At 41.0% G+C, this 24,875-nt stretch overlaps 1 protein-coding gene and 1 long non-coding RNA gene across 9 annotated transcripts in view, besides 2 other annotated features; one reads left to right on the forward strand and one right to left on the reverse strand.

Annotated features, from left to right (window-relative positions):
• Nucleotides 1–22,800, reverse strand: part of BRPF3-AS1 (BRPF3 antisense RNA 1) — a 50,512-nt gene extending 27,712 nt beyond the window's left edge. For both annotated transcript variants that reach the window (NR_187147.1, NR_187146.1), the window contains exons 1-2: nucleotides 21,634–22,800; nucleotides 5,214–5,304 (exon numbers count right to left, since the gene is read on the reverse strand). This is a non-coding gene — a long non-coding RNA (BRPF3 antisense RNA 1). The remainder of the gene's footprint in view (nucleotides 1–5,213; nucleotides 5,305–21,633) is intronic.
• Nucleotides 21,956–22,695: a silencer, noted in NCBI's record as "silent region_17110". NCBI's record gives its function as "represses an Ori minimal core promoter by ATAC-STARR-seq in GM12878 lymphoblastoid cells {active_cell/tissue: GM12878}" and the evidence as "EXISTENCE:reporter gene assay evidence [ECO:0000049][PMID:35858748]".
• The window catches only part of BRPF3 (bromodomain and PHD finger containing 3), a 36,047-nt gene continuing 33,512 nt past the window's right edge, over nucleotides 22,341–24,875 (forward strand). For 6 of the 7 annotated variants that reach the window (XM_011514490.2, XM_047418649.1, XM_011514491.2 and 3 more), the window contains exon 1: nucleotides 22,982–23,016. The gene's annotated coding sequence lies outside the window, so the exon portion shown is untranslated. Of the gene's footprint in view, nucleotides 22,568–22,981; nucleotides 23,017–24,875 lie in introns of those variants that run through there. The other variant, NM_015695.3, reaches the window with a different exon arrangement.
• Nucleotides 23,046–23,095: an enhancer, noted in NCBI's record as "active region_24421". NCBI's record gives its function as "activates an Ori minimal core promoter by ATAC-STARR-seq in GM12878 lymphoblastoid cells {active_cell/tissue: GM12878}" and the evidence as "EXISTENCE:reporter gene assay evidence [ECO:0000049][PMID:35858748]".

Consider the following 24,875-nt stretch of genomic DNA (forward strand, 5'->3'; position numbering starts at 1 on the left):
TAAAAACAAAGTCCATTAATATACTGTACAATAGGCTCACTTAAAACATAAGTCAACAGGTTGAAAGCAAAAAGATGAAAAAGACTAATCCAGACAAATACTAACAAAAGAAAGCTGAGGTAGTTATATTAATATTAGAGAAAATGGATTTTAAGACAAAAACATTATTAGGAAGGAAGAAGTTTGTTATATAATTTTAAAAATAGGGGGTTATAAGTACACAAAAAAATTGGTTAAAAAAATAAAAAAGATTTGAATAACACAATTAATTTGTTTTGTTTTATTTTTGGAGGTAGGGTCTCACTCTGTCGCCTAGGCTGGAGTGCCATGGTGCGATCTCGGCTCACTGCAATCTCTACCTCCTGGGTTCCAGTGATTCTTCCACCTCAGCCTCCCCAGTAGCTGGACTACAGGCATGTGCCACCATGCTTAGCTAATTTTTATATTTTTTGGTAGAGACAGGGTTTCACTATGTTGGCCAGGCTGGCAGGATTAGTTTTTGATCACACAATAGAACACAATAGAACATCTAAAAATTAGGGAATATTCATTCTTTTCAAGCACATGTGGAACATTTATAAAAATTAAATACTAGTCCATAAAGTGTCAGCAAATTTCAAATAACTGCTATAATAATAGCATTCTCTGACTACACTAGAATTAAATGAGATGTTAATAATCAAGAAAAAGGCTGTCTGTGCTGGCTCACACCTGTAATCCCAGCACTTTGGGAGGCTGAGGTGGGCGAATCACCTGAGGTCAGGAGTTCAAGACCAGCCTTGCCAACATGGTGAAACCCTGTCTCTACTAAAAATACAAAAATTAGCCAGGCGTGGTGGCAAGTGCCTGTAATCCCAGCTACGTGGGAGGCTGAGACATGAGAATTACTTGAACCTGGGAGGCGGAGGTTGCAGTGAGCCGAGATCGTGCCACTGCACTCCAGCCTGGGCAACACAGCGAGACTCCATAGGAAAGAAAGAAAAGAAAGAAAAGAAAGAAAGAAAGAAGGAAAGAAAGAAGGAAGGAAGGAAGGGAGGAAGGGAAAGAAGAAAGAAAGAAAGAAAGGAAGGAAGGAAAGAAAAGAAAGGAACTCTCCATGTATTTATAAATTTAAAAACACACTTCTAAAAATGTCAATACTCCCCAGATTGATATATAAGTTAAATAAAATTTCTACTAAAATCTCAGCAAGGTTTTATGTAGAATACACAAAATTAGTCCCCAAATTTATGTGAAAAGACAAATAGAATAGCCAAAATAATTTGGAAAAAAGAATAAAGTGGGGGAACCAGTCTTCCCAATTTCAAGATTTTTATAGAGCTACACTAATCATGACTGTGTGGTATTGGCAGAGGGAGAGATACAGATCAATATAACAGGATAGAGAACTCAGAAATAGACCTACACAAAAATGTCTAACTGATTTTTGACAAAGGTGCAAAAGCAATTCAATGACGAAAAGATAGCCTTTTCAACATACGGCACTGGAGTAATTGAAGATCCATATGCAAAACAAACAAACAAAAACACATGAACTTTGAAGTAAGTCTCATACTTTCTACAAATATTAACTCAAAATAGATCACAGACTTAAGTGTAAAGAACAAGACTATAAAACTTTTAGGAAAAAAAATAGGAGAAAATATTTGAGACCTAGCACTAGCAACAATTTCTTAGACTTGACACCAAAACATAATTCATAAAAGGAGAGATTGATAAATTGGACTCTATAAAAAATTAAAAAACTGTTGCTTTCTCAGAAACCCTGTTGACAAGATAAAAAGAAAGGCTAAAAACTGAAGAAAACCACATATCCAACAAAGGATTAGTATCCAGAATATACTCTCAAAAGAACCCTCAAAACTCAACAGTAAAAAATAATCCAATTAGATGCCAAATGAGCACATATAAAGATGTTTAATATCATTAGCCATTAGGGAAATGCAAATTAAAGCCACAATAAAATATTAGCATATACTCTCTCTAGTTAAAATAAAAAATTTTGACAACATCAAATGCTGGCAAGTATGCAGAGAAACCAAATCATTCATATATTGCTGGTGGGAATGTAAAATAGTAGAGCTGAATTGAAAAACAGATTGGCAGTTTCTTAAAAAAAAACAAACTAAATGAAGTATGACTCAACAATTACACTTCTAGGCATCTATCTCAGAGAAAGACAGACTTATATTCATATAATAACCTGTATATGAATATTCACAGCAGCTTTATCCATAAATCCTTAAACTAGAAACAACTCAGATGTTCTTCAGTGGGTGAATAAAGAGTGGTACATCCATATTATGGATTATTCCTTAGCAATAATAACAAATTATTGATAAAGGCAATGATCTGGATAAACCCCCAGGGAATCATGCTGAGTGAAAAAAATCCCAAAAGGCTATATACTGCATGGTTCCATTTATACAATTCTTGAGATAACAAAATTATAGAAATAGAGAACAGATTAGTGGTTGCCAGGGCCTAAGACAGTAATAGGAAGGAAATGCACGTGGCTGTAAAAGAACAACACAAGAGATCCTTGTGGTGATGGAATTGTTCTGTATCTTGACTGTATTAATGTCAATATGATTGGAACTGCATTCAGAATGGTGGAGTAAAAATCGCCAAAAATTGATTTCTTCAGAAAAGCAATGAGAGCACTGGCAAAAAATTGTTAAAATCAACATTTTTAGAACTCTGAAAATTAACCAAAGGCTCACAAAAGTCTGAGGAGCATTTTCACACACACACACACACACACACACACACACACATGGCTAAATCTCATAAGAAGAGCAAGACTGGTGGCATTTTAACTTGTCCTATTGCCATCCCTCTTTCTGTAGTTCCATAGTAGCCTTGGAAACCAACAACCTTCAATCATGGTAACCCTGAAAACCAGCAACCTAGCAGTCACTGAAGCAGGCAGAATGGGCTTGGAGTTCCCCTAAATGCTCATCTTCCATTAGTTATTCTTTGACTTGTCTGGCAGTTTCCTGGAAACCACAGGGGCTCTCAGGGTTGGTCTTTATTGGAACTGACTCAGGGTTCATTTACTGTGAACAGCCTTTTCTTTGGAGTATTTATGGAAAACAATTAGTGGCAATTGTTTAACATCTCAGGTGCCTGAGGTGATAACATTTGGGGGAAAAAAAGATTATAAGGAAAAACTGAGGAATAAGATTTTTTTTTTGACATGGAGTCTTGCTCTGTTGCCCAGGCTGGAGTGCAGTGGCACGACCCTGGCTCACTGCAAACCTCTGCCTCCTGGGTTCAAGTGATTCTCCTGCCTCAGCCTCCTGAGTAGCTATGATTACAGGCATGTAGCACCATGCCCGGCTAATTACTGTATTTTTAGTAGAGATGGGGTTTCACCATGTTGACCAGGCTGGTCTCGAACTCCTGGCCTCAAATTATCCGCCCACCTCGGCTTCCCAAAGTGCTGAGATTACAAGCATGAGCCACCTTGCCCAGCTGGATTAAGAAGTTTATAAGTGTGTTTGGAAAGCTTAATCAGATTTCCCGGAAATGTAGATGACCACATGCATGTACAGGTGACCACATGCATGTACAGGCTGTATCCCTGCCCAGAACTATGTGCGTACCCAGGAAAGGTTTGAGAAGACCTTAATCTCTAACCACTGGCAGACCTTGAGGTTCTGCACAAGCAGAAAGTAAAGACTAAAGCAGAGTTGTCTAGTGTGTGGTACAGCTTTATGGATATGTCCCAACACACACACACAGACCTTTGGCAAAGGCTGGGAGACTTATCAATTCAAAGCATTTAAGAAAATATCTGTCCATTTATTACCTGATCACTAAGCTAAGAAAGCAGAGGCTATAGTGGCCAAACGTTACAAAGAATACAGACTTTACAGAATTAATTTAGGAAAGTAACTAGACAAACAGGAGCAACAGCAATTGCAAGAATAAATTCTGGGGAAGAGGGGGAATCTGATTTCCAGAGTTGCCACATTTTATTATTTAAAACATCTAGTTTTCAATAAAAGTGTATAAGATATGCAGAGAAACAGGAAAAATAACCTATACACCGTGGGGGCTGGGTGGGGGGAAGCAATGAATAGAAACTGTCAGGAAGCCCTGATGTTGGATTTACTAGACAAAGACTTTAAATAGGATAGTATAAATGTGTTCAAACAATTAAAGAAAACTATATCTAGAGAACTAAAGAAGAGCATGAGAATAATGTCTCACTAGAAAATATTGATACAAAGATACAATTATAAATGAGGACCAAACAGAAATTCCAGAGTTGAAAAGTACAATAACTGAAATGAAAAATTCACTAGAGGAGCTCAATAGTAGATTCAAGCTAGCAGAAAGAAATATCAGCAAACTGGAAGAAAGGTCAATTGAGATGCCCCAATATGAAAAACAGAGAGAAAAAGAATAAAGAAAATGAAGAGTTTCAGAGATCTGTGAAACACCATGAAGTGTACTATCATACATATAAAATAAATCAAAGAAGCAGAGGGGAGAGACCTAAAAAGAATACTGGAAGAAAAAAAGGCCAAAACTCCCCAAATTTGTGAAAAACATTAATCTACACATTTTAGAAGCTCAGCAGACTCAAAATACGAGAAACTCAAAAAGATTTGCACCTAGACACATTATAATCAAATTGTTGAAAGCGAAGGACAAACAGAATCTTGAAAGCAGTGAGAGAGAAGTAATTCATCACATATAAGGGATCCTCGGTAAAACTAACAGCTGATTTCTCATTAATGTCAGTATCTTGATTGTGATATTTTCTATAGTTTTACAAATAGGAGAAATTTTACAAATTGGGAGGAAACTGGGTAAAGTGTACACAGGATCTCTTTCTATTATTTCTTACAGCTGCATGTGAATCTATAATTATCTCAAAATTTAATTAAACATACTCCTGAAACAATACTTCAATCCAAGATGAAATTGTAATAAAAGTGTAAAAAATATTTAGAAATGAACAATAATAAAAATACTGTGTATCAAGACTTGGGAAACAAAATAGTAGTGGTAATTCAAGGTAAACTTATATAGTCTTGTATGCTTATATTAGAAATTAAAACCTGAAAATGACATAATTAAGCACCCAACCGATGACAGTAGAAAATAAAGAATGAACTCAAAGAAAGTAAAAGGAAGCACATAAAAATTATTAAAGCAACAATCAAGAAAATACAATAGCCACGCACAGTAGTGTGTACCTGTAGTCCTGACTACTTGGGAGGCTGAGGTGAGAGGACCATTGGAGCCCAGAAATTTGAGTCCAGTCTGGATAACACAGTGAGATACCACCTATAAAAACAAAATAAAATGAGATATTTTTAAAAAGTATTTTAAAAAGTACAATAGAGGGGATCAACAAATTCAAAGCTTGTTACATAGGGAAGAAACTAATAAAATTGACAAACTACAGGGGGCAGGGGGAGGGGAGAAGAGAGAGGGAGAAAAAATATTAGTAATGCAAAGGGGGACATAACTACAGAAGGATCAGAGATGAAAAAAAAAGTTTTTTAAAACTTAGATGAACAAAATCCTAGGAAAACATACTTCAAGAAGAAATAAGTCCTATGACCAGTAAAGAAATTGAAGTTAATAAAAATCTTCTTACAATGAAGCCATCAGGATTAAATAATTTATATGATCTGAATGTCCCCTAAAACTCATATTGTTTCAAGTTGAAGCAGTCTCACCAATATAATAGTATTAAGAGGTAGGTAATTCTTCTGTGTCAAAACAGGGGGGATAATAAAACAAAGAGGTAACCCCTTTAGGTAATGATTAATTCATGAAGTGGAGTCCTCATGAATGGGATTAGTGACTTTATAAAAGGGCCCAAAGAACTAGTCAGTTCCTTTTGCCCTTTCATCTCTTCTGCCATGTGAGGACATAGTGTTCATCCCCTGAAAGAGGCAGCAACAAGGCGCTAACTTGAAAGCAGAAACTAGGTCCTCACCAGGCACCAAACCTGCTGGCACCTTGATCTTGGACTTTCCAGCCCCCAGAACTGTGAGAAAATAAATTTCATTTCTTCATAAATTACCCAGTGTCAGGTATTTTGTTACAGCAGCAGAAACACAGTAAGATAGTGAGTTCTACCAACTTTTCAATAAACAGCTTATTCCAATGTTATACAAACTCTTATAGAAAATAGAAAAAGAGAAAATATTCTCGACTCATTTATGAGGTAAATAAAACTTGATTCCCTAAACAATCTAATTATAGACAATCTCACTTTGGAGCCTATATGTAAAAATATTAAAGTATTAGCAAACCAAATCAGTGAGATATTTTAAAAAGGTAATAAATAATGAGAAAGTCAGGCTAATCCAGGGATGCAAGAATGGTTTAATACATATATTTTTTGTAAGCAGAATTTTCCATTGCTAAGAGAATGGTTTAATATTAGGGAAACAATTATTCACATTAAAGATTAAAGGGGTACTTGGTATGGAAAAAAACAAACTCAGTTTCTCCTACTATACCCTCACAACACAGAACACTTCCGTGACTCCAGATGTGTGGGGGTTTATACCCACACATCAAGCAAGCAATCAGTTCTGCAGCAGATAACATCTGAGTGTCTTTTAGTTCTATTTGATTCTGACACTATCCACCCGGAGTTCTCTACCCATAGGTTGAGAGATCAGTCCCACAAGACTCCTCTCCACTTTGGATGCAAGTTGCAAGCATAGATTGTGCTTACATTGTGCAACCTGAGTTTCTGACCAATTGGCTATAAATTGAGGATTCCCATGACTCCCTCCTTGGGTTTGATTAATTTGCTAGAACAGCTCACTCAGCTCAGGGAAACACTTTACTTACATTCATCCATTTATTATAAAAGATATTACAAAGGATATAGATAACAGCCAAATGGAAGAGATGCATAGGGTGAGGTATGAGAGAAGGGGCATGAAGCTTCCATGCTCTCTCCAGGCCTGCCACTTTCCAGGAATCTCTACATGTTCAGCTATCTGGAAGTTCTCTAAACCCAGTCCTTTTGGGTTTTTATGGAAGCTTCATTACATATGCATGACTGATTAAATCATTAGCCATTGGTGATCAACTTGAGTTTCAGCTTCTCTCCCCTCCTTGGATGTTGGGAGGTGGGGCTAAATATCCCAACTCTCTAATAATGCCTTGGTCTTTCCTGTGACCAGCCCCCATCCTGAAGCTACCTATGAGCTGCCAGCCACTAGTCATCTCACTAGCATACAAAACATCCCCTTATCAATTATCATTATCACCCCCTTATCATGAAATCCCCTTCAGGGATTTCAAGGGTTTTAGGGACTGTATGTCAGGAAACAAGAATAAAGACCAAATATATACTTCACGATATCACAAGGAGAAAACCAATTATTATCTCAATAGATGCAGAGAAAGCATTTGATAAAATTCAACATCTGTGATGATAAAACAATTAAAAGTAGAAATGATTTTCCTTAATTTATTAAAGAGTATCTAACATACCTTTATAGAAAACATCATTCTTGATAGGGAAATGTCAGAAGCATTCCTCTTAACTATGTAACCAGGGCTGGGCATGGTGGGAGGCTGAGGCAGGAGGACTGCTTGAGCCCAGGAGTTCAAAATCAGACTGGGCAACATAGTGAGACCCTGTCTCTACAAAAAATACACAAATTTAGGCAGGTGTGGTGGCATGCACCTGTAGTCCCAGCTACTCAGGAGGCTGAGGTGGGAGGATTGCTTGAGCCCAGGAGGTCAAGGCTGCAATGAGCTGTGATCACACTAGCGCACTCCAGCCTGGGTGGCAGAGCAAGACCCTGTCTCAAATAAATAAATTAATTAAATAAATAACAAGATAAGGATTTATACTATCACTTTTTCTATCCAATATTGTGCTGAAAGTTGGGGTGAGGGGAGAGGGGAAGAGAGAGAGAGAGAAAGAGAAAGAGAGAGAGAGAGAGAGAGAGAAATGATACCATATACATCCAGTGGACCCCAGGCTCTGGCTTGTCCCTTTAGACCCAGGCACCAGGCCTGCCTGCCCACTGATTCAGACACTAGGCCATGCTGTCCAGGGACTCCAGCAATAAGCCTTCTCGTAGACCCCACCAGCTGGCCTGCCCAGAATCTCTGGACAAGCTGACTGGTGAAGGGCTTTCCCTGCTGAAGCCAGCGTGCAAAGACTGAAAGAGATGCCTACTTCTTCAAACGCACAGACATCAACACAAGGCAATGAGGATCACGAATAATCAGGAAAACATGACACCACCACTAAAGGAACAAAATAAAGCACCAGTAACTAACTCTAAAGAAACAGAGATCTATGAACTGCCTGACAAGAAATTAAAAATAGTAAATTTTAAAGAAGATCAGTGAGCTACAAGAGAACACAGACAACTAAGCAAAATCAGGAAAACAAGACATAAAGAAAATGAGTGAGATGTTCAACAGAGATAGAAACCATAAAAAGAACCAAACAAATTCTGGAGCTGAAAAACACAACACTGAACTGAAAAATTCCACATACAAATTTCAATAGCAGTTTCCATCAAACAGAAGAAAAAAATCTGTGAGTTCAAAAACAGGACATTTGAAATTACTAAGCCAGGGAAACAAAAAGAAAAAAGAATGGAAAAGAATGAAGAAAGCCCATGGGACTTGTGGGATACTGTCCAGTGAACCAATGTATGTATTATGGGATTCCCAGAAGAAGAGAAAGATAAAGGGACAGAAATAATATTTAAAGAAATAACGAGAGAGAGCTTCCCAAATCTGGAGAAGGAATGAACATCCAGGTCCATTAATTCCCCCAAAAACCCAGATAGTTAAACACAAAGAGATTTTTTACCGAGACACACTGTAATCAAATTCCCAAAGAGAGCATTTTGAAAAGGGCAAAAGAAAAAGACTTGTCACGTTCAAAGAAACTCCGTAACACTATGAGTGAACTTCCCAGCAGAAACCCTGTAGGCTAGGAGAGACTAAGATGATATATTCAAAGTGCTGAAAGAAAATAACAACAATAAAAACTGCCAACTCCAGCAAAGCTATCCTTCACAAATCAAGGAGATATAAAGACTTCCCCAGACAAATAAAAACTGAGGAAGTTCATCACCACTAGACCTGCCTTACAAATGCTAAGGAAAGTTCTTCAAAGTGAAACAAAAGGACTTATGTCAAAGAGGTACCTGCACTCCACTATTTATGGCCACACTATTGACAACAGCCAAGATTTGGAATCAAAGTTTCCACCAATGGATAAATGGATAAAGAAAATGTGATAAACACACACAATGAAATATTATTCAGCCTTAAACAGAAGGAAATCCACCAGGAATGATGGCTCATGCCTGCAATCCCAGCAGTTTGAAGTGGGAGGATTGCTTGAGCTCAGGAGTTTGAGTTCAGTCTTGGCAACCTAGTGAGACCTCATCTGTAAAAAAATTTTTAAAAAAATAGCCAGGTGTTGTGGCTCACACCTGTAGTCTTAATTACTTGGGAGGCTGAGATGGGAGGATCACTTGAGCCCAGGAGATGAATCCAGCCTTGGGCAACATAGCAAGACCCTGTCTCTAAAAAAATTTAAAGAAGGAAATGCTGTCATTTGTGAAAACATGGATGAACCTTGCAGAGTTCCCAGATTCCCCTGCTTTCTTTCTTTGTTTTGACTCAGAGACAGAGTGCCTTGACCATTCTATGGCCTGGCCAGCTGCATGTTTTCTCCTATGGGCTTGAACCCAAGCTGGGACCTTGAACATCTCCATGAACTGATAAATTTGTATAGGTTGTTGTCCAAAACACTGAAACATCAACATATTGCCAAATATGTAGAAAATAGCCTTGGCCCTGAGCCAAACTCCTTAACCCCCCCCCCCCATATAAACTTTATAATCCAACCTCTTTGTTGACATACCTAGGTAGAACATCTTTTTTCTCACTGTCCATCATGAGGACTGCTGATGCACTCTGTACATAAGTTCCCCCTGATTAATGCTTTGGACTGATCATTCTGGCATTTAATGCTTCTTTCTTTGGAAGCCCTACTCTCTCCATGTCAGGATGGTTTGGTCAGTCCCTTGCAGGAACTTCTCTGCTGCCACTTTTGTGGCAACTTCAGCACTGGACTTGACTGGATAGAACAAATGTGGAGGACATTATGCTAAGTGAAATAAGCCAAAGACAGGCTTGTGGTAATCATTTCACAATGTATACAAATATCAAAACATCACATTGTATACCTTAAATATGTACAATTTTTACTTGTCAATTATATCTCAGTAAAGCTGGGGGAAAAAGAAATTAAAGGTCTAATGTTTGAAAGAGAGGATTAAAACTATTATTCGCAAATGTATAATTCTATAGAGAAAACTCTTAACCTGCCAAATTATTAGAATACAGGTTAGCAAGGTGGCTAAATATAAAATGAATATGCAAAAATTAATTATATCTTCAATACAACTAACAGGAGAAAAATTTAAGATACTACTTACATTATAGGCAGTGGTGGCAATGATCAGGCTAGATTATATTTGCTTTATAGCTTCCTCCTCCAGTCTCCTGTCAATTCTGTGAGCCCTCCTTAAACCCTTCCAATAAATTATTTTTGTGCTTGAGGCACAAAAAGGTTGAATTAATTTTTTTTTTTCTTAGAGTCTTGCTCTGTCACCCAGGCTGGAGTGTAGTGGCGCAATCTTGGCTCACTGCAACCTCTGCCTCCTGGGTTCATGCAATTCTCATGTCTCAGCCTCTTGAGTAGCTGGGATTACAGGCACCCACCACTATGCCCGGCTAATTTTTGTATTTTTAGTAAAGACGGGGTTTTGCCATGTTAGCCAGGCTGGTCTCGAACTCCTGACCTCAAAAGATCTGCCTGCCTTGGCCTCCCAAAGTGCTGGGATTACAGGTGTGAGCCACTGAGCCCAGCCTTGACTCCATCTTTCAAAAAAAAAAAATTAGATCAGTTGTTTTTTTTACTTGCAAGCACACATCCTGTAACTACACTATTTAATGTTTTATTTATTTTTAGTTTTATTTTATTTTATTTGAGACAAGGCCTAACTCTGTCACCCAAGCTGGAGTGCAGTGGTGCCATCATGGCTCACTGTAGCCTCAACCTCCTGGACTCAACTGATCCTCCCAGTTTAGCCTCCCAAGTAGCTGGGAATGCAGGTGGATGCCACCATGCCTGCCTAATTTTTGTATTTTTTTTGTAGAGACAAAAAAATTGCTGGAATTTGTACCAGATGAACTCCTGGGCTCAAGCAATCTGCCCACCTCAGCCTCCCAAAGCACTAGGATTACAGGTGTGAGCCACTGAACCCAACCCTATTATTTTAATGAGATATTTGGATTAAAATATGTGTGTTGGGGTCCCCAAGATCACCCGCAAGTCCAGTGATTTTCTAGAAGGAATCACAGGACTCAGTATACAGCTGTACTCATGGCTGTGACATGTTGAAAGGATACAGAGCAAAATCAGTGAAGGGAAAATACACATGGAGTGAAGTCCAGAGGAAACCAGGCCCAAGCTTCCATGAATCCTCTCCCAGTGGAGTCACTCTTATCAGTTAGAGTGGTGGAGAACACGCCTAAAATCCAAGTCTCCAGATGCCAACTACGTGCCTGGTCTGGTTACCATCCTTGAAGGATCTGCATACAAGATTGGCTCACTGTAACCTCGAACTCCTGGCTCAAGTGATCCTCCCACCTCAGCCTCCTGAGAAGCTGAGACTGCAGGCATGCACTACCATGCCTGGCTAATTTAAAAAAAAATCTTTAGAGATAGGGTTTTGCTATGGTACCCAGTCTGGTTTCAAACTGCAGGCCTCAAAGGGATCCTTCCATCTCGGCCTCTCAAAGTGCTGAGATGACAGCATGAGCCACTGCACCCAATCTGTATTTCTTTTCCATGTGTGACATGGTCTGGCTGTGTCCCCACTCAAATCTCATCGTGTAGTTCCCATAATCCCCATGTGTCACAGGAGGGACCCAGTGAGAGGTAACTGAATCATGGGGCAGTTACCCTCATGCTGTTCTTGTGATAGTGAGTGAGTTATCATGGGATCTGATGGGTTTATATGGTGCTTTTTCCCCTTTTGTCCATTCTACTTATTGCTGCTGCTGCCATGTGAAGAAGGATGTGTTTGCTTCCCCTTCTGCCATGATTGCAAGTTTCCTGAGGCCTCCCCAGCCATGCTGAACTGTGAGTCAATTAAACCTCTTTCCTTCATAAATTACCCAGTCTTGGGCAGTTCTTTATAGCAGCATGAGAACAGACTAAAACAATGTGAGTTATCTTTCTTGGAATTAGTAATTCTCTAATTTAAAATTTTTATTTTTTATGTATACATTATTAAATCCATCCAGAAACTCTTCATCAATATTGAAAAACTTCCTCTCATATGGTCAAATGTATGTGTTAATCTATCCATTCCAATTGTTTCTGGAGTCCTTTGTCTTCCTACTCCAATGGTTTCACTTGAGACCTGCCACACAATTCTCTTCCTTGAATTTCCCTTCATTGTAATCCTGGGGATATCTTTTGCTTCTTTTTTACATTTAATCCTGTATTAGTCCATTCTCACATTGCTATAAAGAAATATCTGAAACTGGTTTATATATATATATAATATATTAAATATATAATATATATAAAAATATATATTATATAAAATATATTATATAAAATAAATATATAATATATTATATAATATATTATATATATAATATATAATATATATTAAATAATATATTATATATATAATATATAATATATATTAAATAATATATTATATATATAATATATAATATATATTAAATAATATATTATATATATAATATATAATATATGTTAAATATATAATATATATTAAATAGATATATGAGGTTTAATTGGCTCACAGTTCTGCAGGCTATATACAGGAAACATGGTGGCATCTGCTTCTGGGGAGGCCTCAGGAAACTTACAATCATGGAGGAAGGCAAAGGGGAAGCCCACACTATACATGGCTGGAGCAGGAAGAAGGGTGGGAGCAGGTGCCACACATTTTTAAACAACCAGATCTCATGAGAACGCATTATTGTGATGATAGTACCAAGGGGAAGCAGAAAATCTGCCCCCATGATCCAATCACCTCCCACCCAGGCCCCACCTCCAACACTGGAGATTACAATTTGACATGAGATTTCGGCAGGGACTCAGCTCCAAAGCCATTTCCTGGATCCCATGTATTTTACTTTTCTTGGTTTTTTTTTCTACCTCATTTTTTGTGAAAAATGTCATGCAGTTATTTCCTGAGGAAGTATAGATAAATGTTGTGAAATCTTGAATGTTTGAAAATGTCTATACTATTTTCACACTTGATATTTTGGCTGGGCATAGACTTTTCCATTGGAAACATTGTTCCTCAGCATTTGAAAGAGTTTTTTCATTGCCTTATAGCTGCTTGATAACATTCTGATTCCTAGTTCTTTGTATCTGACCTGCTTTTCCTTTCCAAAAACTTTTTGGATTCTCTCTTTTTCTATCACTAGTGTTCTTGGTTTAGATCTTTTCGCATTTATTGTACCAGAGCACTGAAGGAGACTTTCATTCTGGAAACTCACTACCTTCATTTCTGGGGAAAATTCTCATCTCTTTCTAGAACTACTGTAAATGGGATGTTGAGCTTCTTAAATTCATCCTCAAATTCTCTTTTTTATTCTCTTTTCTGTCCTATTTTCCATCTCCTTTTCTCTCTGGGAGAGTTGTTAAACCTCACCTTCTAACTCTTCCATTACAGTCTTTAAAATTTTTTCACATTTTTAATATTCAAGATTTGCTCTTTTCTGACTCCTTCTTTTCTGTCCTTTCTTCCTCCTTTCCTTCCTCCTTCCCTTTCTCTCTCTCTCTCCCCTCCCCTTGCTATCTTTATTTCTTTGAGACAAGGTCTCTGTCACCCAGGCCAGAGTGCAGTGGTGCGATCTTGGCTCACTGCAGCCTCAACCTCCTGGGCTCAAGCAATCCTCCCGCTTCAGCCTCCCAACTAGCTGGGATCACAGGCACATGCCAGCACATCTGGCTAATTTTTTTTTTTGTTAGTAGAGACAGAGTTTCTCTATGTTGTCCATGCTGATCTTGAACTCCTGGGCTCAATCGAGCCACTCACCTTGGCCTCCCAGAGTGCTGGGATTACAGGTGTAAGCCACAGTGCCTGGCCTCCCCATTTTTTTTTTTTTTTTTTTTGAGATGGAGTCTTGCTCTGTTGCCCAGGCTGGAGTCCAGTGGCACTCTCTCTGCTCACTGCAACCTCTGCCTCCCTGGTTCAAGCAATTCTCCTACCTTACCCTCCTGAGTAGTTGGGGTTACAGGTGCCCACCACCACGCCGAGCTAATTTTTTGTATTTTTAGTAGGTATGAGATTTTGCCATTTTGGCCAGGCTGGTCTCAAACTCCTGACCTCAGGCGATCCGCCCACCTTGGTCTCCCAAAGTGCTGGGATTACAGGCCTGAGCCACCATGCCCAGCACTTTTTTTTTTTAAATGAAGACAGGGTATTGCTATGTCACCTAGGCTGGTTTGAAACTCCTGGCCTCAAGCGATTCTCCCACTCTGGCCTCCCAAAGTGCTGGAATTATTAGGCATGAACCATCACCCCAGCCAGCTACTCTTTGAGGCTCTTAGAGATTTTTGTTTGTTTGTTAAGACTTCTTTGGTTCTCTATATTGTTTTCCCCATTCTTTTTTCTTGGATTCTGACCTTCATGATACTTTCTTCATATATCTGTTGGTTTTTGGTTGTTTATTCAATGTTAAGAGGTAGTTTTTTTTAAAGCTGTTTAAAACTCTATGTGTGTTGGGGTAGGGGTGGGGAATGCTTGATACCAGGTGAGCTTCAGCATAAGGCAAAAGGTGACAAGCTGGATGTTTTAGTGAAGATGTTCCATCGCCAGTATTCATAAATAGGTCTTTTCTCCATCTTCAGAGAGGAATCATGGTATTCTCTAACATTCTGTAATCCATTGCTTCTCAAATCTTAATATGCATATGAAACATGTAGGGAGATCTTAAAAAGCAGATTCTGGTTTGGTAGGTCTAGAGTGGGGCCTAAAATTCCACATGTTTAACCAACTCCCAGGAGATGTCAATACTATCGGTTCTTGAACAATAATCTAAGTAGCAAGGTTCTGGCTGCGGGTGGTGGCTCACGTCTACGAACCCAGCACATTAGAAGGCCAAGTTGGGAGCACTGCTTGAGCACAGGAGTTCAAGACCGGCCTAGGCAACAAAGTGAGACCCTGTCTCTTAAAAAAAATTATCGAGGCATGATGCTGTGTCCCTGTAGTCCCAGCTACTCAGGAGGCTGAGGTGGGAGGATCGCTTGAGCTTGGGAGGTTGAGGCTGCAGTGAGCTGTGATCACACCACTGCATTCCAGCCTGTGCAACAGAGCAAGACCTCATCTCAAAAAACAAAAACAAACACTAGCAAAATTCTAAAATAAACCTGGCTTCCAGTGTTTTGCAATGTGATTGGGGGAAGAGGCAGGACCACTAAGAATTTTGATCTATGAAACATTTATTTCAACTAAAAGGATGGACTGACTAGAAATGTTTTCATGAAATTTTCTCTTAGCCCCCTTCTGCACCACCAGATTCCAGCAATTTGTACCAGATTTCCCCTCCCTCATCAGTCTAGGGAAGAACATGTGATGGTGATGATTGGGGCTCGGGGGAGCATCTTATTATTTAGTATGCAGAGATTCCCTTTAATTTCCGTTTTCAGTATGACACTTCATCGCTGTCTTCATTGGTTCCTGGTGGCCCCAAGTCTAGAACTTCTTTAGTTCAATTTCTTGAGATAGTAAATCTCACCTGCTGTTGTTTTCCCTCATTCTCTTTGTTCTTGTGGATTTCATTGTCTTGTGGATTTTTTTATCCTTTACTAACATTATTGAAGTTAGGGGAGGGAGTGGGGACCAATGCATGTTGTCAAGCCAGACATTATTTTAACCATGCAATCATTAAACTTTTCCAGAAATGTCCCACTCATTGTGGACTACTCTTTCTACAATGTACAATGTAAATTGTAAATTGAATTTAAATTTGCCATCATTTCATTGTTTTCTATTTGTTTCACCTTTACTATATTTCCTTTTCTTTCCTTGACTTCTTTTAGGTTGGTCGAATTTTTTATTCTTTTTTTACTCTGTACTAGTTTGTGAGTTACATCCTCATTTTTTCATTCTTTTAATGTTAATGATTAGTCTAAAAATTGCAACAGGTATGCTTTATCAACTTAATTGTGGTAAAATTTATGTAAAATAAAAGACAGCTACTCTGTACAGTTTAAGTTTTGGCAAATGTATATATACCTGTTTCTCCACCACTGCCATCAACTTACAGAATGTTTCTATCACTCCAAAAAGTTTCCTCATGCCCTTTATAGTCCCTCCTCCCCTTCACATCCAGGAAGCCACCAATCTGCTATCATTATAGAGCAGTTTGCATTTTCCAGAATTTCATATAAATGGAAACATGTATTTTATTATTATAGGTATTCTGGAGTAATCAAAAGCTAATATTAATCCTTTAACTTTACCTTTTTCTCAGAGTATTTTAATCCTGGAATTCTCTAAAATCCTCTAATTCACTGTTTCTCAACTTTAATATGCATATAAATTACTTATGGAAATCTTGTCAAAATGCAGGTTCTAGTTTAGTATGTGCTATTATTTTTGTGTATTTTCTCTCCCTTTAGTAAAATTATGCCAAGAAGATGGCTACTTTTAGGGTTGGTACTTCTGCTAAAATATGGAATTATATTTTATAGTGTCCTGGCTTCACTCACAGTTAAGAGTTTAGGATTTAATAGAAATCCTAATTAAAGGTTGAAAAGATAAGACATTAGATCAAGTTGAACAATTTATACTTGTCACATACTACTTGCTTTCATGCTTGCTTGGTTTAGCATTCCACTGAGTATATGGTAAAATGTTCTAGCTAGAATTCAAGTTCAGAAGATAATGCAAGCCACACTGGATAGCTAATTTAAACCATACCGTATCACACTCTCTTGCCTGACTAGAACTTAAAGCATGGAACTATTGAAGTCATTTCCCTGTTCCAAAAATCATCAGGGTCTCCTGCCCCTTCATGTCTAGCTCCCTACCCAACCAACAGTCTCCATGCTCTGACTTTACCTTACCAGCCTTCTCTCTCATATCCCTCATTTTTGGGTCAATGGGTAACCCACTGTTTCCTGAAACAATCTTATGGCATTCCATGTGTTAAAGAAAAGACAGCAGACCCCAAATGGAGTCATTCATGCTGAGAGGTTCCATGACACCAAACCAAAACCTGTATTTTACTGTAAGATCTGACTCTTCAAGAAATCAGGAGAGAGATGATAGTCAAATCCCATTAAACCAACAAGATTTCATTTACATTCCTATAAAGAAAAATAATCTTGAAAAGACCAATCTGCTATTTGCTCATTGTTCCTGATTTATTTCACTTCTTTCTGCCTATAAAACTCACCTACTTGTTTAGCTCATAGGAACTCCTTTCTATTTTGTAGACTGGATGTTGCCCAGTTCATAAACAGCTAATAAAGCCAATTGGATCTTTGGGACTCATTTGTTGAAATTTTATTCTTTGATACGTTCTTCCTCTTTGCTCATGCGGGTGGCTCAGCCTGGACCACACTCCCTCTACCATCTTTCTAGCTGACACACCTACCTGAGAGCTTTCAGGTAGAGCTCAGATAGCACTTTCTTCACAGAGCCTTCCCTCTTCTCCTAAACAGACGAGCTCACTCCCTCCTCCAAACTTTGGCACTTCGTTTGCATCTCTCTTGAAGTGCTTATATTGTAGCACGTTCCAGTTATAAATACCCTTGCTTTATACTGTGATTAGAATCTAAATGCCTTCAAGTCTGCAAGCATACTCTTTTCACCTTTGTGGCCTTTACAGCCATAAAATAGAACCTTACCAGCAGCTCACAAATAGTAATTGAATAAATATGTATTTCAGTGTGACCAAAAGAGGTTCCAGAGAACTTGAGCTGATTTCATCATTTCTTCAATCCTCAGGTTCCCACCTCCAATAGGAGCTCCCGAGCAACCCTTTGCCACCTCTTAATTTGCAATGATTGTACCAAACTGTGAGAACCTACAAAGTTTGAACTTAGATTCTTCTTCAATCTTCTCCTTTGTTCTTATGTCCAATCAGACAAAACAGTTGCTTTGTCATCTGATTTCTGATTTGACCTTTCCTTTTCCTCTTTCTCTAACACATTTTCCATCATTCTGCTTAATGCCTTTTTATTTTCATAATGCCTAATTACCTATAGTAAACTCTTCCAGGTTTACCGGATCTCCTGTTCTACTTTCTCCAATACATAAAGAGGATAACAGTAACATTTTATAGAGTTAGTAAGTTGATAAATAAGATATGGTGTGCATATTGGACCTAGTTTGTACATGTACCTACTACCCCATTGTACAATCTTCTCCTGCTCATGTCCTCTGGTTTTAGGAGTTGATACATGACAAGCAGCATGTCCCTCTGGCCACAGTTATTGGCTCAGGATGGCTGAGAAATTGCAAGATACAGTATGCTGATGACATAATTCGAGTCCTTTGACTCGATCTTGTCTATAGCTAGATGCACCCCTGGACTTTCTGGTTATGAGAGTTTATTTCCTTTATTAAACTCACTTAAGTTGGTTTTCTGCTAACTGCAACAAAGATCTTTAATAAATGGAGTATATAAAGCACTAAGCACAGTACCTTGTACATAAGTGTTAGGTATTATTTTTATTATCCCTGTCCCCTTGCCATACCTCCTACCCAATTCAATCTTTTTCTTATCATCTGCCCATACATACCAGCTAGGATAATTTCCGCATTATTCCCTGCATATTTTCCCTTTGCCTGGACTGTCCTGTCACCAACCCAATGTCACTTTACACTCTTTTCACCAGTTCACATCCATCATGATTTAGAACTTGGCTTAAAGAAGTCTCCCATTCTCCAAGAAGCCTTCTTTGAATAATGGTGGCTCCATACTCTTCACTGCCTTATCTATTTTTTCTTGTATGTGTTTTCTACTTATTTCTACCATTCTGGATTGCACACTACTCAAGGCAAGAAAAAATATATTCTATCTATACTTATGATCATTAGTCCCTTTCTAGGTTGAGATTTTGTCATTATTTTCCAAAGAACTTGTGCAGTATTAGACACACTCTAAGTGGTCAATGAATACGTTTTAGAAATACATAAATGGAATTAAATCTAGAGAGTGTGGTATGTTACTCTATTTAAGACCTGTTGTTAACCTAGCTAAACTTTTCCCATTTTCCAAGCAAACTTTACATTCTTAAACCATTTTAATTAGTGTAAAAGTATCGGCCGGGCGCGGTGGCTCACGCCTGTAATCCCAGCACTTTGGGAGGCCGAGGCGGGCGGATCACGAGGTCAGGAGATCGAGACCATCCCGGCTAAAACGGTGAAACCCCGTCTCTACTAAAAATACAAAAAATTAGCTGGGCGTAGTGGCGGGCGCCTGTAGTCCCAGCTACTTGGGAGGCTGAGGCAGGAGAATGGCTTGAACCCGGGAGGCGGAGCTTGCAGTGAGCCGAGATCCCGCCACTGCACTCCAGCCTGGGCGACAGAGCAAGACTCCGTCTCAAAAAAAAAAAAAAAAAAAAAAAAAGTATCACAATGATTCCAACCTCAAACATTCCTCCCAACTGTGGTTTCAGAATTCTTTTAGTCAAGTATCTAAGGAAGGAATATTCTATTAAAAATAATTTAACAATCAATCAAGGCCTATTTTTTTCCTTATCATCCACGTTATTAATCCAGTGGGTACTGCGTCTGACCCCTGAGAGGTTTCTTGGCCTGATAAACTAATGACAATAGTGAAGCATTAACAAAGATATCCTGAGATGCTGAAAAAAAGTATGATGGGGAAGTATGAAAGAAAGAGGTGGGGAAATGGTGATTTTTTTTTGTATTCATGTTTCTTTTAGTTTTAAATGGTAAAACCTTCTCCTATCCCAAATAAGTTGGTTTCTACTTACAGCTGGAAGGTTCTTAAAAACAACTATTTGGAATCAAAGATCCATGCCTCTGTTTGTTGAATTTAATTGCTGTATGGTTTATTGGAAAGGCCAGGGGTGGTGAATTTAAACCGTTTAAAATAGCAAACGATTAAAGTGAATTAAATTTAGTGCCTCTGAGATTTTTGATATATGTTCCAAATTTGTTTTTAATAACATAATTGTTCCATGTTACATTTAAGATTCCATCACAGGGAACTGGTTACGTGTGCAGTTATGCTTGTAGAAACCAATTCCAAATGTCAAAAATTAAAGTGAGGGCAACTGTAATGATATCATTAAAAAAGTAGAAGTTGAAAATGGAAGAGAAACACTTAGGTTGAATAAGGTCTTAATATGAAAGCTTTGAATAGAAAAACCTGAAAAAAATCACATGCATTAGGTTGACTTAAGGCCTTTTCAACAGCATTTAAATCGTTGACTTACAAGTAGAAACCAATGCATTTTCTCAAGGTATTTATTCATTCATTTTAGTGGAAAAAGATAGCTCCTGATCACGCAAATGGGAATTGTGCTAAATAAATTTTGAGAACATCCATCAAGAAATAAAAGTTACTAGTCATATGTATAAATGATTATTATATTTCATGTTTTAATAGTTTCTGTTAGTTTTCAGACTTTTTTTTTCTTAACTACAAGTACTGTAATTGCAATATTTTCTTGCCTCTGGGGCTTTCTCTTCCACAATTAATCATCTTTTTCTTCCACACCTTCCCTCCAAATGATTATTCCCCCTAGCTTCAGAACACTTGACATTAATTCATACTATTTCATCTTCACAGCTTTCAAAACATTGTCCTGCCCTTGCTTAGCTCCACGAGCCACCCCCCTTGCATTTAAAAAATTGGTTAACAGAAGCATTTTTGTACTATCTCTTTGCCAGAAGATGCTATTTACTTGGAAACAAATTAGCTTCCTTAATCAAACTTTTGAATTTGAAACTCTCTATATTTAAATTCCTTAGTATAACATCTATACTTCCAAAGTAGCAGTATGTTCACTTTAAACATTCAGAAAATTTGGATCCTAAGACTTTATCCTTCATCCTTCTGACTCTAGAATACATGTCCTTGATCATCAGAACCAAGAAAGAAATTGAGTCTCACCAGCTACACCACAAGTGCCAGCAGAGGAAACACTTTCAAACTGTCACTCACCTTCACATTTACAGGCAGCTTATCCATACGTCCTTTATAAACATCATTATGTATTGGTGCTTAAGACTTCAGTCACATGAGGTAAGCTTTCCAGTTTACAGGCAAAAGGGGGTGGCAATGGAGCCCTTTTCTTTATTTTTTTGTTTTTTTAGATCAAAACAAAAGCCAGTTTGGTCTGATGCTGCCATTTGTCAAGCATCTTTTAGAAAGCCGCCTAATGCATTAAATTAACCAAGTCAGGTTTAAAGTGTTTCCCATGCCCACAGTGACAGACGAGTTACCAGGCATGCTTAAGCAGACTGTCAAACTTTTGTTTACTCCTTTTAAACGGAAAGTCAGATTTTTTTTTTTTTTTTTTAAAAGATGTGTGGTGCGGAACAAGACGCTCACCTGTACACAACAAAGGCAGGTCTTTCCCGGCTGTCCTCACTGGGGGAGGGGATGGACAATCGCTAGACCTTTGTCCTCAGGTCCTGGGCATGGGGGTTAGGGGAGACGCGACTTTCTGGGAGTCGTGCAGGCACCTGCAGTCAAGAAACTACATATTGGTTTTGACCTCAATGACTGCCCTGGCTTAACCTTTGGAGAGGCCCTTTAGTTCGGGGAGGGGGCTTGCTGCTCCAAACCGTAGCCACGTCACCCACAAGGACTGGGGAGGAAATGACTGACCGCTCAAGAGTCAGGGACCCCTGTCTCTCCCAACTAGACCCGAACGTCCACAGCCCTCTTATCGGGCTCGCCCCGTGGCGGGCAGGGCCGTGGTGCGCAGGGATCGCGGCGGGCGCAGACCCGGTCTCTTGCTCGGTGTCCCCGCCGCGCCCGCACCGCCACCGTGAGGCCGAGCCGGGGATGGTGCCCCGTGGCGGCGGCGGCGGCGCCTCCGCGCTCCTCTCCGCACCGCCCCGGCCGCCGCCGCGCCAGGCACGGGCGGGGGGATTTTTTTCCCGTTTCCCCCTCTTTCGCGCTCTCGCTCCTGTTCAGCGGGAGAGCCCGCAGAGTCAGGGAGGGAGCGAGGGAAGGGGTGGAGGTGGCGGGGGGAGGCCGGAGGGGCGGATCCTGCCTGGGGGCTGATCCCTCCCTCCCCTCGGCCGGGCTCCGTGGCGGCAGCGGCAGCAGCGGCGGCTCCATTCCCCCTCCTCCCCCGGGAGCGGCGGCGGCGGCCGGGCCGGGGCCCCAGCGCGGGCCGGGAGGGGGCACGGCGGAGGCCACGGAGGCAGGCGCGGGAGAAGACCGCGCTCCGCTTCCCGGGCCGCGCCGACCTGCTCGGCGGCCTGCCCGCCCGCGCCCAGGGGCCCCGAACGGTGGGGCCGGGCAGGCGGCTGAGGTAATGGGGGCGGCAGCGGGGCCGGACAGAGCGGGGGCGGGGGCATCGGGGCCTTCGGGGACCAGGGACTGCACGGGGGGAAACCGGAGAAGCGGGGGGCTTTCCGAGCAGGGCGGGGGCGGTGCGAAAGCTCTCTCCTGGAGCGAGGGCGGCGGCAGGGAAGGAGAAGGCGGGTGAGCGGGGGAGCTGAGAAGCGAGGACCCCCTCCCGCAGCCGCCATCTTGTCTCCCCCCCCAGCCCTGGATTCCGAGCCGCTAAGCCCCGCCCCCGCCACGCCTTCCAATTGGCCTGGCCAGACGAGAGTCCCGCCCCTTGAGCGGCCCTAGGTCCCCTGGGTCCCTCTGACGGGCAGGTGACGCAGCCAATGGGTTCTCGCCTCTCCGCCCCGCTCATTCGCTGGCGCTCGCTTTCTCTGTCTGAGGGTCGGACTCCACGTCAGGCTGTCTCTGGTGCGCTCGCCCCTCCCCTCTGAGGAGATGTTATTTCCCTCCTTTCTTCTCCGAGGGGTCAAGATTCTTCTGGAAGAGGTGCCCCCTTAAAGGAGCAGGAGCCTTGGCTGGGGTCCTCCTTGTCTCCTGAGTATCTTGTGTGAGGTGCAGGGGATACAGTCTAATTGCAGAAGCTCCTCATTCTTCGGGGACCTGGATGGGGTGGGTGAGCGAGGGGTCAGGGGGTGCCGAGGGGAAATCTGGGGGGGCGGGGGTTGTTGGAGATATTTTGGAGGTGTGTATGTGGGAAGGGCTGTGTAGGTTGAGAAACTCCCGCCAAAAAACTCGTCTAGACTGTAAGCTCCTTGTGGGCGAAACTCTTTTCATTTCCCTCATCAGCAGTCCCTTCCCCCTCTAGAGTTTCTCCCCGGTGTCTGGAGGCGTGGGTGGGACAAAACACGTCTGTGTAGAGTCTTGCATGGTCGAGAGATGCTTGAGCAGCCGAGGAGGTGGCAGGTGGGGAAGGAGAAGATGGAGCGGCTTTCATGAAAGTGGGCGCCGCACCGCCTGTCTGCGCTGTTTGGGGTCGGTGTGGAGGCAGATGTTCTCACCTCTTCTAGGGCCTCGGTGCCTTTGGAGGGGTGGGTGATGAAGCAGGTCTGTTGGCCCTGTCTGCCCCCAGGGACTTGGCATTTGTAAGGAATCCAGTAGCCAAGGGCCTCTGGAACCCGGACAGAATTGCTGCGATGATTCTGTTTCCTTTGGCTCCAAATGGGGTGTGTGCCAGCCCGCCTGGCACTGCTCCTCAGCCAAATTGGTTTTTTGTTTGTTTCAGTCACACTTTGGGATTGGAAGGCCTTTCAAGTAAAGATGTTAATAATACCTTATTAACAAGTAGCACCTAGAGAGCTAGATTGTGTTACCCTCATTTTACTGATGGAGTATGGAGGCATAGAGAGCTTAAGGGACTTTCTCTAGGTCACAGAGGGCCAAGATTAGAACCTAGATTGCCCCAGAGCCTCGTTTTGTACCAGACCATAGCACCTCTGTGGTGTTCTTAATTCCCACTGAGAGGAATTGAGCATCGGAAGACCTGGGTTCAAATTGTAGCGTTATCACTTACTAGCTTTACGTTGAGTGACATCTTTCTGAGCTTCTGTGTAGATGATAATAGCTACACCATCTCCTAAGGTAGTTGTGAGAAATATTAAAAGTAAGAGGGCTTTGTAGTTTGGAAAAAGTGCTTTTATTATCACCGTCTCTACTTTATATAGATGGTAGACCCTGCAACCAAGGCGATGAATTGTTTTTCTCTTTGAAATCTTCTCTTTGTTCATATCCTTCCAAGTCTGCCCACACCATGGGGCCCTGTATCCCCAAAGGTCTCTCCTGGTGGTGACAGCCTTGGTAACTGCCTACCGCAGCTCCTTATGAGCTTGTCATCCAGAGAATGATGGGGGAAACTAGGACTTTCTCTTGGCTGTACAAGGATAGACTAGATATGAGTGTTCTGGGAGAGACTTTTGAGGTAACAGAATGCATTGAGAGTTTACCTCAGATACTGCCCAGATCATCTTGGCCTTCGGTCGAATGAAGGTCCTAGACAGGCCACTATAACTTCAGAGATCTCTTGGAGCCACTCTCAGAGCTTCTAGGGTTTGTTTCTGCCTGGAAATGTACTAGTTGGTGTATCCTGGATCAGGGGTTCCCAACCCCCAGGCCGCAGACTGTGGCCTGTTAAGAACCAGGCCATACAGCAAGAGGTGAGTGGCGGGCAAGCGAGCATTACCACCTGAGCTCTGCCTCCTGTCAGATCAGCGGCTGCTTTGGATTCTCATAGGAGCGCGAACCCTACTGTGAACTGCGCATGTGAGGGATCT

Source organism: Homo sapiens, chromosome 6 (assembly GCF_000001405.40).
Source record: "Homo sapiens chromosome 6, GRCh38.p14 Primary Assembly".
Classification (NCBI taxonomy): Eukaryota; Metazoa; Chordata; class Mammalia; order Primates; family Hominidae; genus Homo; species Homo sapiens.